The sequence below is a fragment of the Homo sapiens genome, chromosome 18, assembly GCF_000001405.40.
Source record: "Homo sapiens chromosome 18, GRCh38.p14 Primary Assembly".
Classification (NCBI taxonomy): Eukaryota; Metazoa; Chordata; class Mammalia; order Primates; family Hominidae; genus Homo; species Homo sapiens.
In genome coordinates, this window is record NC_000018.10 from 8131716 (window position 1) to 8146936 (window position 15221).

The window sequence follows — 15221 nt, forward strand, 5'->3', positions numbered from 1 at the left end:
GTATGAAAGTAGACAAATATAAAGCTATTTGTAAGGGAATGAGAAGTCTTACTTAGAAGCAGGGCTTAGCCACGAATTTTCTTCAACATGCTGTTTTTCTGTTTAGAGGAATAAATAACTGTCTCTGAGAAACAATGTTTGAAAATAAACTTGGCACCTGCCTAGGAGTTAATAAATGGCATCTGCTTAGTATATCGATCAGTATCTCTGATGAGCTTTTCCATTTGCTCTAGTAAATATCCAAGCAATGCATCACTTTAGCAGTGTAACTGATGTTCAGTTTAATATGTGTAATTTACTTATTGGTGTTGCTAATGATGCAGTTATTAATTATGGCTTATTATTAATTATAACATAGTTTATTCAAGTTGGAGCTCTTAGTCAAAACACATACTGGCATACCAACTTTTGTCTGAGATTTTGTGTAGGTGTTGTCCTTACAGTGATTTAATTTGGTATTTTTTACTCAGGATTTTATGTAATACCTCTTCACAGTAAACATGATAAACAAAAGTCTTTGTGATTGTAGTACCAATTCAGTGGGTTCTCCTTATATGTCTTTGAATAATTTCTTTAGATATTGGTATATGTTTATGTACAAATGCACACACGTGCACATAGGTAAAGACAGCATCAAAGTGAGTTGCATGTGTCTTTTAGCCAGTTTAGGGACTTAATAAAGGGAATTATTTATATTTCTGCCTTACTTCTATGAGTAACAAAGTCCGAAAATGCTCCCATGGTAGGATCATAGGACTGCAATAGCCATTTTGTTAAATAAAATTACTTTTAATAGTTTGAATCCTACTAATTATCTTATTAGACATTTCTCTGTTTTTTACTTTCTGAAGAGCCCCAGACCATTGTAATTAATATACAGCAGAAATTTTGGCTAGTTTAAAGACTTCTAAAACAAACTCCATATACAATCATGACAAATTACCTATATCTATTTAATCATTGCAAGTATTGAGTTTATAACACTTTATTCTTGACAGATACTCACTTTGTGTCTCTCTGATATGTACCTAGTTAACGTTCTAGTCATTGTTGGATATATATTTCACAGCGTTGAGTGCTGAAGATATAACGTTTTGCCACTAGTATTTATTTCCATGCTCTTACTTCCTGTTAGTCTCTTTTTATCATTGATGAAAGTTTGGCCAGCAAATTTTCTGGTAAGGATTTTGTCTTAGTCTGTTTTCTGCAGCTGTAACAGAATACCACAAATCAGGTCATTTATAAACAATAAAAATTTATTTGACTCATGGTTCTGGAGGCTGGGCAATCCAAGAGCATTTTGCTGGTATCTGGTAGGGTCATCTCATGACAGAAGGCAGAAGCAAGCAAGAGAGACAGAGAGGAGAAATCAGACCAAACTCATCCTTTTATCAGAAACCCACTTCCACAATAATGACATTAATCCATTCATGAGAACTCTGACCTCATGACTTAATCATCTCTTAAGGACTCCACCTCTTAATACTGACTCTTACAATGGCAACTAAATTTGCAACATGAATTTTGCAGAGGACATTCAAACCACAGTAGACTCTCATCTGTCATCACCATACTAAGAAAAACCCTTCTTTTCTTCCTGGCCATCTCTTGGCATCCTCAGTGGAGCTCATGTTCAAACATCTTCCTTCTTTCTTAGCATGTGAGGGCCACAAAGATGAGTAAGACTACTTTTGTCTCAAGGAATTTATGTTTAGTGTATGACATAAAGATTTACCAAAATAACTGAACTTGAGTTTGAAAATAGTTAAGTTCTGTGCAAGAGGGGACAAGCAAGGTGCTCTAGGAGTTCAGCAGGAGAGAGAATACTTTTCTGCAAAGCAATTAGGAGCAGTAGTTGGAATGTGTGGCCTTTGAAGATGGATAGGATTTGAACCTACACAAATTGAGTAGGGAAAGCTCCTATGCAGCAGGAGCAAAGGCCTTGGGAAGGGAAATATTGAGGGTTTGGGGAAACTGGGCATTTCCGTTTGGTGTATTTCAGAAAGGAGGGTGGCATAATATTAGGAAAGGGGGTTGGAGTTAGCTCATGGAAGGCCTTTTGAAATAATCATTTAGAAGCTCTTGGATTTGATTTTGTTTTTTTAAATGAAAGAGTGACTTGATTGGAGCTATTATTTAGGAAGATCCATACGGCTGCACTATGTCAAAGACACTGGCTAAGGTATCTACTTGGGAGTCAGGCATAAAAATCCAGAAGAGAAATAGATGGCAGTGAGAATAAAGAAAAAAATATGTAGCATTTTTAGACTTGTTAGAGATTGGGAAGGACAGTAATAACTGACCTCTCTAGTGTCAGATGACAATTCTTTAACCCAAGGGCGGAATAAACCTCCTTTGTAATTTATTCCAGTTTCATGGACTGAATACAACCAAAATTCATTTACTTGCTCTTTTACTGAATACTGACTACATTGTGCATAGACAGGGGAAAGCCTCTCTCAGCCTTTCTCTGTACAAACTTGAACTCCTGCTTTTACACTTATATGTTCAAAAATATTTTTCTCCATCTATACACAGACCACTCATGGTTATTGTTCTCTTTACAAATGCTTCTTGTGTCTTTTACAATATCCGTTCAGTAAAGGCTTGTCAAATGCCCACCGTGTTAAAGAGACTGTTAATCACTAGACAGCAAAGGTGGTAAGAAATGATCTTTACTCTTGGGAAGCTCCGATGGCAGGTCACCTGCTTGCCTTCTCCTGCATTAGATAAATGACCCTAGTTCCTTTTATCCTTCTTCGTAGTCCTTCTTTTTTACCTCGTTGATCATTTGTGCTTCTTTTCTTTGATTCCTTTTCCTCATCCACATGATGACTAGTATATCATGCTCCAGGATTATGTGCATGCCATTACTCTCATACATTTCAGAATTGTATTGATCATATTACCAGATCTTTCTTTTCTGCACTTTGGCCAGGAAGTCCTTTCTCCTCTTGTTTTTCTTTCGGAATTATTAGTTCCTTATTGAATTGTTCATTCTTTCCTTTTTCATTCTTTCCTTTTTCATTCTTTTGTTAGGCCCTCCTCTTTACAACTGACCAAGATCACTTTTAACTTGAGTCTTGTATTCCATAGCATGAGCAATAACCACTTGAGTTTTCTGTATTATATTGGGGAATGCTGTAGTGCAATGAAATAGGAGTCAGCTTCACAGTCAGACACCCTGGGTTCAGAGTATAGCACCATTCCTTCTCTTTCACTGACTTAGGACAAGCTGTTTATCTTGATGGCTTCTGTTGCTTCAGTTTCCTCATTTGTAAACTGGTATTAATTATACTTCATGGTATAATATTAAATAAAAATTATATAAGTTACCCAGCATATAAAGTAGGTCTTCAAAAAGATTAGTTTTCTTCCTTCCTATCTTATTTAGTAGCACCCAGGCAGTTGATCAATATACTTTAAATTCCTTTACAATTCAGAGTGTCTTCCAATCTCTACATACTGGGGCTAGTCATAAATGAGGATTTGATTCCACCACGTTTGCCTCTTCATTGTATAAAAGGATCTTTTCAAATAGTGCAATCAATGATGGAAATTGGATCGCTGAGAAAGTAAGATATTATTATATTAGGAGATGTTTTAAGGATAACAACACAATTACATTTTTTTTCTCATTTTGCCATAGTCTGAAAAACTTCCCCACTCATACTTTGGAGCCATAGTTCTAGAGTTGGTTTTTTCTCCATGTTGTGTAGGGAATCCCCAAAAGTGTTACATAGATTCCTGGGTCCTACCTCAGACCTTTGATCCAGAATCCACGGGGAACCCAGCCATCTGCATGTTTCAAAGCTCTCCAAATGATTCTTCACCCAGCCTGAGTTTTAAACTTCCTATAATTGGAGACCCTCTGTTTTAGAATATATTAAACACAACGCCACAATAAATATAAGCCATATTTATTAAAGCCATTTATTGTTTGAGGAACTATTGTGTGTTTACTAAATGAGAGTCTGGAGAGTACATGACTTCCACTCTCTCCTAAGACCGTGTGAGTCCTCATCACAATTCTAAAAGGCCATCTTTTGTGTGTGTAGTTCTTAGGCCCTGTGAAAGTCATGTCACACATCTCATGCAATTTGCTAGGCTCTACATTTTTTGAGCCTCAGAAATACTGATACTTCTAGCAAGCATACAGAATAGACTAGGTATACTTACTTTTTGATGAGATGGTGAATGACAAATTTCAGACAGCAGGAAAAGCTCTAAGTGGTTTTTGCAAACAACAACTACTTTGTGTAGGAAGCTGTGGTGATCCTTTCTCCCACAGGAAAAAATGTTAAGAGGTAAACACGAGGTCTAGACCATGACCTAAAATACAAATCTGGAAGAAATTTTGAGAGACAGTAGGTTTCCATTTTAATGCCTTCAAAGTTTAGTTTCAAGCAAATGGTTGGAAACTTCCATTCTGAACTACATCACCTTCAAGAATCATCTGTTTTGGAAGCAGCCACCCCCACTTCCTTTCTTGATTATTCACTTATGTGAAAGTTGCACACAGTTGATAACTTATTATTGACAGTTTGTTTCCCTATTTTATTACTTGATAATGATTTGAGAAATTCAAATGGAAAAAATAAAACTATTTCATCAAAATAGTAAGAGCAGTAATAATTCTCTTGGACTTTTAGTGTCCAGATGATAAGTGATAAGGCTTTGATAGATCATCTTCTCCACAGGGCGTCAGCCACATCAATAAATGAGGCAGTAACTGTCATGAAATTAGAACAAAAATAAAAAAAAGATTGATTTTTTTAGAGAAGATATATATCAAACAATCCATTATCTCAGTCTTATATGAAAAATTATGTTTCTGATTATTACTTGTACATTGTATATGCTCTGTTTGCCCTACACTGGAAATTAGGGACAGAAGAAGAGTTATAAATTCAAAAGCATAATCAGGTTACAAAGAATACACAAAATGTGACTGTAGATTATTCCAGGAATAGTGATTGACTTCGCATTCCCAGGAAGAAAAACAATAATATGTAATTTAAATGAAAAATCTAGGAGGTGTTTTGTGATTATGTATAATGTGAAGAAGGAACAGCTGGAAAAAACTAAACAAGACTGCAAAGGATTTTAATTCTCTGGGCAACAAGACCTGAATGAACTGTCTCACAATGATCTTTAAAACAAGGATGTTGCTGTTTTTAAGAAAAAGTATAGAAATTTACCTCTGCATATGTTCACACACACACAAAAGGAAAATTAATTAAAATAGAGTATTCCATGAAAGTCATTAAAATGCTAGCACAAAGTGATGGAGTACTGAATTTAAATTTTAGATTATCTTTTGGGACCAGTGCTCTTTGAAACGCACTTGAAGGAACAATATTTTTACATATTTCCACTGCTTCCATTTTATTTTCTACTTTTAGCTCTTCTCCCTGTCGCATCTCTTAAGGTTTTTCAGCCTCCTCAGCTTTTCTTTTCAGCAGTTCCCATTGTTACTGTCCTTAGCCCCTTTTTTCTTCCTTTCTCCCCAAAATACCAAGAGTGGCTTTGTGGTATTTGGTTTGCCACCGAAACCTTTTGCATGTGGTGTGAATGGGGTAGTTTGTTGCTCAGGTTCAATTCAGACATTGAACCCAACACACAGCCCCAGCTGGCCATGTAGTCCCAGAGCCATTGTGGGTGTTGTCACCTGTACACAGCTGACTGTGCCTCTGTGAGTCTCTTGTGTCCTGCTCGTTCCAGCCACCCTTGCAATTCAGGCAGGGGAGGCTCCAGGCCTGGGTGGGGCAGTAGCCTTCCCATGGCTCCCCAACTTCCTTCCCTTCCCTTCTTCAGTGAGCCTGCGTATTGCTGCCCAGTTGTTCTCAAGGTACTGTTCTGTTATTTTCTGTGGTTCCTTATTTACTAAATTTAATCTGGGCTGTCCTACCCAGTGAGCAACACCCATCCCACCATAAAGCCTCAGTTCCAAATCCTCTTCCCAATCACCCCCAGCCCCTGCTCCAGACCCTGCCCTTGAAGCTAGTATGTGACTCCAGAGGCCCCTTTGTTCTGGCTTATGAGGCACTCTTCCCACCCAGCGTTGAAGCCTTCCCGGTCCTTCCAGCCCATTCATTATCGCAGCCTCTGACAAGGAGCCCTCCCTCATCCCCTCCACTCTTCCCCAGCTGGACTCTGTAGCTTACCTGTGACACTTAAGGCTTCTGGCCTTATTTACTGTGGTCAACTCCCTGAAGGAAGAGGCACATACTCAACTCTAATTCCCCTGCAGAGCCTTGTTCCAGTACCTTGAGCACAAAACGTACTAAATAAGGGGCTGCTAATTCGGAGGCTGTGGAAGCCAACATGAGCCACACATATGAACAGGACAGTGCTGGCCCACGTTCACGGCTTCATCCCTTATATTTAGAGGGAACGTCAAGTGTCACAGGGATGCTTCTGTATCTCTGATCTGAACACTGGTCACACCCCTCCCCAATGTAAGTCTGAGTGGGGATCACCCCCTACCTTTTTTTTTTTCCCTCCTCTTCCCCTTCTTCATCCTAACTAGGAGGAGTGAAGAGACGGCCCAGGGCTCTGCATGCTCTTGGATACAGCCACAGCCCCACTTCCCACCCTCACTGTTGGCTCGTGGCCATCAGGATTGCTCTCACTGGCCCACCTTCCCCTTCTCTCTCACGCCTTAGCCCCCTTCCAACCCTGTCTTCTGTGTCCTTGGAACTCCTGGTTGGCTACCAGCAGATCCCACCCATGCCCAGCCTGGGACATCCCTCCCTTCCCTCTTCTAGACAACTTCAAAACTTTTTGGCCTGAGATTTCTCACACCTCCGTTCTGGTCCTCAGTCTCCCCTCATCTTCTTGGTTCCTTTTTCCCTGGGAAAATGAAGCCATCAAAAGAGACCTTTCAAATGCTCTGCTCCCAGACCAGCGCATCTGCCAAGAGCCTGTGCATTGCTGCGTGTGTGGCTTTCTGCTGTTCCTCTGGGTGAAACATCAGCCCTCGTGGTTCTGCGCGCTGGTCTCACCTCCCGCCTCTGCAAGGGCTTCCCTCCAGCAGGCAGCTCCTTTCCCTCCCGCATCATCAACTTGCCCTCTCTATGGTATCATTAGCATTCGCATTCAGAGATGCTGTCATTTCTCCCATCTTAAGAAAAAAAGACTGTTTCGTGATCCCTTTCTTCCTCTCTGGCTGCTCCGTGCGGATGCTCCCTGTGTCTGTATTCGCCTGGACATCCGCCTCCATGTGGCTGAGTTCCATCCTCCTTGACCCGCCATTGTTTCCCTTGTTCACTTCCTAAGTGTCCCCCGGCCGACTCATGACTGTAATCACCATCTTTTTTATGACAACCTCAAATTTATCTTCTACACCCAGATCTCTCCCCTGTATATCCATCCAACTGCCTACTTGCTATCTCTTTTGTATGTCAAATATCTCAAACCTCATTGGTCCAAAACTAAACTCTTGGTCTGCCCACCCACCCCTCCAAACCTGCTCCTCCTGCAGTTCTCGCCCTGTCAGTTAGTAGCAGCTGTGTCTGTCCAGTGACTCCTGCCAGAAATCTGGTTGTTATCCTAACACACTCGACATCCAGTTCATCGGCAAAACTGATGGCTGGACTGTCACAGCGTGTCTCAAGTTTGATGGCATCTTGCCACCTGCACTGCTACCTTCTCACTCCAAGCCATGAGTGTCTTCCCTGCATCTTCGTAATAGCCTCGTAACTGAGGTCCCTGCCTCCACCGTGGCCCGCTACAGCCTGCAGTACACACGGCTGCCGGGATAGTGTTGTTGAATATAAGCCAGATCAAGTTCCTCCTCTGCTCAGAATCCTCCCAAGGCTTCTCAAGCAGAGAGAGTCCTTCCAGCTATCTAAGGAGGTGTCCCCACCCTAAAATTATGCTTCACCTTCTCCGCAGTTCACCGCACTCCAGTCACACTCAGTATTTCAGTCTCATTTGCACCTTTTCCCTTTTTCTCCTCCCTGGATGTCACTCTCCCACTCCCTTTCCTCTTTCAGGTCTCTGCTCGAATGTTATTTTCTCAGTAATTCCTTCTCCAATCCCCCATCCTAATAGCTGCCTTGCCTTCACCCCCCAGCCCACTCCCCTTGATTTTTCTCTACAGCTAGCCTGGCCAGACACTGCCTACAATATTGGTTTACCTTGGTGTCTGTCTTCCCCACAAGGATTTAAGTTCCATGAGGTCAGAAGTTTTTGTTTTGTCCATCTGCTCACCACTGTATTCCTTAAACAGTGCTTGGCAAGCAGTTAGCTACTCAATAAATGCTTGTTGAATAAATGAAGAATATTGCTGGATTTTTTTCCTCCACATTCAAGGTCAACCTCGTACTAGTCACCACCGTGCAAAGTTCTGCAGCTGAGCTGTCCCTGCGGCTCTTCCTAACCCTGCCACTCCCCTCCCTTTGGGAAAGCTTCCCGTTCACTCGGGGTGAAAGCAGCCCGTGCTGTGGGCAGCATGGTCAGTAGCTCTGGGCACCACTGACAGCCTTCATGGCCTTCTGGGCTTGTACCCTTGGATCTTCTGGGAAAATTTGTGCAGCCAGTTCAGTAGTCAAAATTGGGCCCAGACCTCAAGCCAGTGGCTGAGTACATCGTGTTCTCAGCCTGGCTTGCTGCTGTTATTTAATTTAATGTTGAACACTGGGCCAAAGTGGAATTGTTTTCTGCCAAGTTGAAAACCAGCTAAATACTGCATTGGTTAATCATTCCATTTGTTTTGAGTTTTTTTGTTTGTTTGTTTGTTTGTTTGTTTTACATACTAGATGTTATAACTGAAATCTTAATGCAATTTGACTGGAATACCACTCTTTTTTATTTTCTTGGCCATTATAAAAATAATAACCAGCGTTATCACTAGGAGTCAGTAGACTGGGCATCTGTGAGGATTATGCTCTATGATTTTAGCAGTCTCTTAATCTCCCTGTAATATTTAGCTTATTCACCAGTGCAATGAATACGATACAGTAGCAGGCCTAGATAATATCCACTGATAAATGGACACATGCAAGTTTATTCTCTTCAAAAGGAACTAAATGCACACTGCTGTCCTAACAGAATACACACAAGAAGAGAAAATGCCTTTTAATAAGCAATTAAAATTTATACGAAAAAAAGGAAAAGTTTATACCATGAGAAACCTGGCAAGAAAATAACAAGACCGAGGGGGAAATAGAATGAAAACAACTCTTTTGCCAAGCAGTTTAGAAATTATACTGTTAAATTCATAGATTTGGGTGAGGAAAAATAAACAACCATCAGTTGCAACCATGTTCTGTCAAAAATATCCCCTGTCCAAGGCCCGCTGACAGGTCATAACCAGAACCACATGTTCCCAAAGCAATAAAAGAGGAGAGAGGAGCATCCTATTTAAGGAGAGCCTAAAGATGTTCATTTCAGGCAGGGATAGAGGGACAGGGCACAGGCAGGAAAGCAGGAACTTCCTGGGCAAGGGGTCTGGAGTCAGTGACACCCACCCATCAGGTTATCCGAGGGCTGTTTGTGTTTACACTGATGCTTCTGCAGAGTCCTAAACCCAAACACCCGACTCAACCGGATGGCCACTCCCAGGCAGCCCTCCCACCTTTTCTGAGTCACTGTCCCATTTAGCGTGGTTGCTACCGTCATCACGTTGCAACTGTGTCAGGCCAAGATAGAACATTTCATTCCCTTGACCTGCAATGTGAAATGAGTTAAAAGTCAGTGCTAAGAAATGATAATACTGAGCTTCCACAGGCTGCATAGCAATGTGCATGCTGCTTCCTAAAGGGGATGAAAGGCTGCAGGTAACCACCCCTCCTTGGCCCAAAGCAGAATAGTCATTCATCAGTTCCCACAGAGCCAGACCCTCCTCTACTGAGTGTTCACAATGTATGCATTACATGTGTGCTATTTTTATATTAAAATGTCTTAAGGTAAATAAGTTTTTCTAAACATTTTTTCCCAAGTGTTGCATTTAGTGACATAACTTAGTTACAAAACATACCTTAACTCATCTATTTAGGAAATATACATGGAGAGCCAGCTATCTATAACTAGTGAGATAAATGGAATGGCTTTCCAGTATGTCAACATTTGGAAGAATAAAACCAATTTGATTTTATTTTAAAAATTTGTTTTAATTGGACACAAAATCAAAATGGAAAAACAGACTTTTTTCAGTTTCGTGAATTTCAAATGTTACTTCTTTTTGTATAGATTGCTTATTTAACTTAAAAAAATTTTGTTTATCCACATACACATTTTATCTTTAGGTTTTTCTTAGCAATTTGTTTAATGTGACAATTTCCTCCCAGTCAGCCACCTGGTGATATGTTCCAATAGAATATTGGAGTGGTGTATTTCAGATGTAATTACCATAAAGGATAATTAACATTAATACCTTAAAGATTTAACTGAACAACTAGTTTGAGGGATATTCATTGAATCAAAATAGCAGGACTTATTCTCGACATTGTCAGAAATAAAATTGACCTGTAGAGGCTTCTTCAGAAGGGTTTTTATTTCATAAGGTGTGTTTTTTGCATCATGGCTGCTGCTGTTGCGGCTCTCAAATGATTGGAATATGCTTTGTCATGGAAACACTGACGAGCTTCCAATTTGCTTCTTCCCTGACCTTGACTCACTTCCTGGGGTCAGTCTAATGACTACAGCCATGTTCAGAATGCAGGGCCTCATGTATAAAATCTCACCAGGAATAACTTTGGAAAGAAACATCATTTACGTGTTCCCAAAGGACACAAAAAAACAGATGGAAGGTGATATCTGGCACTCCCTCTTTCTCAGTGATAACTCATTTTAGAGTTTGTCCTCCTGGTCTTGGGGGCTCAGACACAGTGACAACTAAGGTTTTCGTGAGTCAGGTGACGTAGGAGTGGAAAACCTCATGACAGAGTGGAAAGAGCTGGTTTACAAACACTCCGATTTAATTACATTTTTACCAACACAAAAAGAAAATTCTAAGGAGGAAAATTTGGACATAAAATTCCTCCATTCGGAATGACCTGTCACCTAGTAAGGGTGGTGTGGCTCAGAGCATCATCACATTCTGATTTTAAAAGTACAAGCCCTTTTACAAAGGAGTCTTTTTAGGGAATTGAACATTGCATTCCTAATATTTTTCATCCTGAATGCACTTAGCAGAGGAAACGTATATTTCATCAGACATGGATTTGACATTCCATTACATTGTAGTAAACGGGACAAACATGTCTCATGTTTTAGACATGAGAAAGGGGAGCTAAGACAGCCACCACCACTGTAAGACCCTGGTTATCTCATTTAAACAGATTTTAAATGTGGGTGCCAGTGGTGTGATCATCAGCCGCTTCCACTTTGTGAATAAATTGCTTAGAAGGAGTCTTTTGCCTACCAGATGTGACCTAGATTTAGATTTCCAAAGGCAGGGGGAAAAAACTCTATTGTGTTAAAAAACAATTGCTGGTAAAAATGCATGGTAAATGAGCTTATCTCAGTTTTCCAGGTGTTTGGACTAATATGTTATGGAATTACTGCTTCGTTTATGAAAAATAACTGAGGAAAATGTTCCAGCAAATCAAATTTGGATAAAGGCTTAGGGATAGCTATTGTGCTGTTAGTAAGTTTTTAAATGGCAGAAAGAGCAGGAGCCAATAGAGATAATAAAATAATATTTTTCTAAAAAAAAAATGTTTGAGAAGAGTCTCATAGAAAAGGGTCAGGCATGGGTGTGCTATCCAGCTTGTATATGGTTTAGTAAAATATTGAAGAACAATGTGAACAATTACGCTGCTTTCAGTGCATATGAAAGCTGTTTAAAAAATCAAAGCTTGTCTGTCTGCTGGCTCTGATAAGTCTTATTACTCTGTTAAATGCAGCGAAATTTTTTAAACTGTGGCATCTTTATTCTCTCTTACCTACAGTCTCTCCTTTTTCATTTCCTTTCATCTTCAGGAGCTGCCACTCCGAAACCAGTCCCAGAACCCGAGAAACAGACAGACCATACAGTTAAAATTGCTGGAGTCATCGCGGGCATCTTGCTGTTCGTGATTATATTTCTTGGAGTTGTGTTGGTAATGAAGAAAAGGTGAGCTCCTAGCTGTTGCCAAAGATACAGTTATATCCCATTGTTTGCTGGAATGTTTTGTGTGTGTGAAAATTCTCAGTTACTGAACTGGCTTTGATAACCCAGACACATCTGTGACTCTGTGATTGTTAACATTTTTCATCATGTGGCATGGAAGGTTATGGGACAAAAATTTAGAGTAAATGGCTATGATTCTGTGTGAATACGCAAAGCATATCATATCAGAATAACCATCCTGTGTCTTCCCACACAGTGGCAGATAAAGCTCTGCAAAATCTTAGAAGCCACTTATTCACCAGGAAATGTTTAGTACTGATTTCCAACATACTAAGACATTTGGTAATCACAAAGATATGAGAAGACTTTACTTTTTATTATAGTGAGGATGATGATGATGACAGATTTTATGGGGCCTGTGTTATATGTAGGCACCGTGCTAGGGAAGGTCATCAGCACAACATCCATGAGAAAGAGAACCCGCAAAAACAGCCCGACAGAAAAATGCAGCGCGGGAGCAGCTCGTGTTAGAACAAATCACAGAGCAAGTGGTGTGGCTGGGCACCGTGGCTCATGCCTGTAATCCCCGCATTTTGGGAGGTGGAGGCAGGTGAATCATTTGATCACTTTATCCCAGGAGTTCGAGACCAGCCTGGGCAACATGACAAAACCCTGTCTCTACAATAAATACAAAAATTTGTTGGGCGTGGTGGCACACACCTGTAGTCTCAGCTACTGGTGAGGCTGAGATGGGAGGATCACTTTGAGCTATGATCACTCCATGGCACTCCAGCCTGGGCAACAGGGCAAAACCCTGTCTCCAAAAACAAACAAACAAACAAAGTTGTGTGTTACAAGAGCCAAGGGATAGTCTGGGGGAGAGAAAAACAGATATGGCCATAATAAGTGATCCTCACCTCCCATACTTGAAAACTATGCAGTGTCTTGTTTTGTGGAAACAAGCAAAAACTTGCTTAATAATAAAATCTTCGATTTATGTAAAAATCAATACAAAAATATAGATACTAAGAATTGATGGCATAAAGTTTCCCAAATTGAGGGAATATGTGGATCTTGTTCTTTTCTCTATTGTTTCGAAACAGTTGTAGTCATGCATTGAGAGTGAGTTCATGGATGGGAGAAGGTAAAGGTGGAGAGGTTGGCAGAGTGAAGACTAGAAACTCTGATCTGGTCATGGAAGGAGGTTGACCTTGGGCCTGAGACTGTTGATGGCCTTTGAGTAGGTGGTAACATGATCTCATTTTTAGGAATATAACTCTAACGTTAGGATTGGACACAGTGAGGAGGGGAGAGAGCTCAAATCAGGAAGACCAGTAGAAGGAAGAGAAAGAGCAACTTTAGAAACAGTTAAGAGTTAAATTTTAGTAGCCATTTGGAGAGAGAAGGGACAATATAGAAAGACTTAGAATAGTTCCTGGTTTGGGCAAGTTAGTGGAGATATTTCTGTTCACCAAAATGTGGAACATAGGAACTACAAAATGGGGTGGGGGCACTAAAAATGGAGAGTTCAGCTTTGCACATTTTTTTTCTTTTTCTTTATTATATTTTAAGTTCTGAGGTACATGTGCAGAATGAGCAGTTTTGTTACATAGGTATACACGTGCCATGGTGGTTTGCTTTACCCATCATCCCATCACCTATATTAGGTATTTCTCCTAATGCTATCCCTCCCTTACCGCCCTACCCCCTGACAGGCCCCAGGGTGTGATGTTCCCCTCCCTGTGTCCATGCATTGTCATTGTTCAACTCCCACATATGAATGAGAACATGCAGTGTTTGCTTTTCTGTTCTTGTGATAGTTTGCTGAGAATGATGGTTTCCAGCTTCATCCATGTCCCTGCAGAGGACATGAACTCATCCTTTTTTATGGCTGCATAGTATTCCATGGTGCGTATGTGCCACATTTTCTTTATCCAGTCTGTTTTCTTTATCAATTGATGGTCATTTAGGTTGGTTCCAAGTCTTTGCTATTGCGAATAGTGCCACGATAAACATACCTATACATGTATCTTTATGGTAGAACAATTTATAATCCTTTGGGTATATTCCCAGTAATGGGATTGTTGGATCAAATGGTATTTGTAGTTCTAGGTCCTTGAGGAATCACCACACCGTCTTCCACAATGGTTGAACTAATTTACAGTTCCACCAACAGTGTAAAAGTGTTCCTGTTTCTCTGCATATTCTCAAGCATCTGTTGTTTCCTGACTTTTTATTTCTTTCTTTTCTTTTTTTTTTTTTTTTTTGAGATGGAGTTGTTTGCTCTTTTTGCCCAGGCTGGCATGCAATGGCATGATCCCAGCTCGCTGCAACCTCCGCCTCCCAGGTTCAAGCAATTATCCTGCCTCAGCCTCCTCAGTAGCTGGAATTACAGATGCATGCCACCACGCTAATTTTTGTATTTTTAGTAGAGACAGGGTTTCTCCATGTTGGTCAAGCTGGTCTCAAACTCCCAATCTTGTGATCCGCCTGCTTGGCCTCCCAAAGTGCTGGGATTACAGGCGTGAGCCACCGTGCCCAGCCTTCCTGACTTTTAATGATCGCTATTCTAACTGGCATAATATGGTATCTCATTGTGGTTTTCATTTGCATTTCTCTAACGACCGGTGATGATAAGCATTTTTTTATATGTTGGTTGGCTGCATAAATGTCTTCTTTTGAGAAGTGTCTGTTCATATCCTTTGCCCACTTTTTAATGGGATTGTTTTTTTTTTCTTGTAAATTTGTTTAAGTTCTTTGTAGGTTCTGGATATTAGCCCTTTGTCAGATGGATAGATTGCAAAAATTTTCTCCCATTCTTAGGCTGTCTGTTCACTCTGATGATAGTTTCTTTTGCTGTGCAGAAGCTCTTTAGTTTAATTAGATCTCATTTGTCAATTTTGGCATTTGTTGCCATTGCTTTTGGTGTTTTAGACATGAAATCTTTGTCCATGCCTGTGCTCTGAATGGTATTGCCTAGGTTTTCTTCTAGGATTTTTGTGGTTTTAGGTCTTATGTTTAAGTCTTTAATCCATCTTGAGTTGATTTTTGTATCAGGTGTAAGGAAGGGGTCCAGTTTCAGTTTTCTGCATATGGCTAGCTATTTCCAACACCATTTATTAAATAGGGAATCTTTTCCCCATTGCTTGTTTTTGTCAGG

At 40.4% G+C, this 15221-nt stretch overlaps 1 protein-coding gene and 1 long non-coding RNA gene across 37 annotated transcripts in view, besides 1 other annotated feature; one reads left to right on the forward strand and one right to left on the reverse strand.

Annotated features, from left to right (window-relative positions):
• Positions 1-15221, forward strand: part of PTPRM (protein tyrosine phosphatase receptor type M) — an 839541-nt gene that overhangs the window by 564400 nt on the left and 259920 nt on the right. For all 36 annotated transcript variants that reach the window (XM_011525708.3, XM_047437715.1, XM_011525712.3 and 33 more), the window contains one exon: positions 11932-12064. In XM_011525708.3, the coding sequence (XP_011524010.1) occupies positions 11932-12064 (133 nt within the window). The remainder of the gene's footprint in view (positions 1-11931; positions 12065-15221) is intronic.
• LOC107985119 (uncharacterized) lies at positions 1236-8387 on the reverse strand. The gene is made up of 2 exons (XR_001753548.2): positions 8145-8387; positions 1236-3567 (listed from the first exon to the last, which is right to left on the reverse strand). It is a non-coding gene; the product is annotated as an uncharacterized LOC107985119 (long non-coding RNA).
• Positions 9914-11113: an enhancer, noted in NCBI's record as "P300/CBP strongly-dependent group 1 enhancer chr18:8141627-8142826 (GRCh37/hg19 assembly coordinates)". NCBI's record gives its function as "activates an origin of replication core promoter dependent on BRD2, BRD4, P300/CBP, MED14 and CDK7 cofactors, with strong dependence on P300/CBP, by STARR-seq in HCT116 cells {active_cell/tissue: HCT116}" and the evidence as "EXISTENCE:reporter gene assay evidence [ECO:0000049][PMID:35650434]".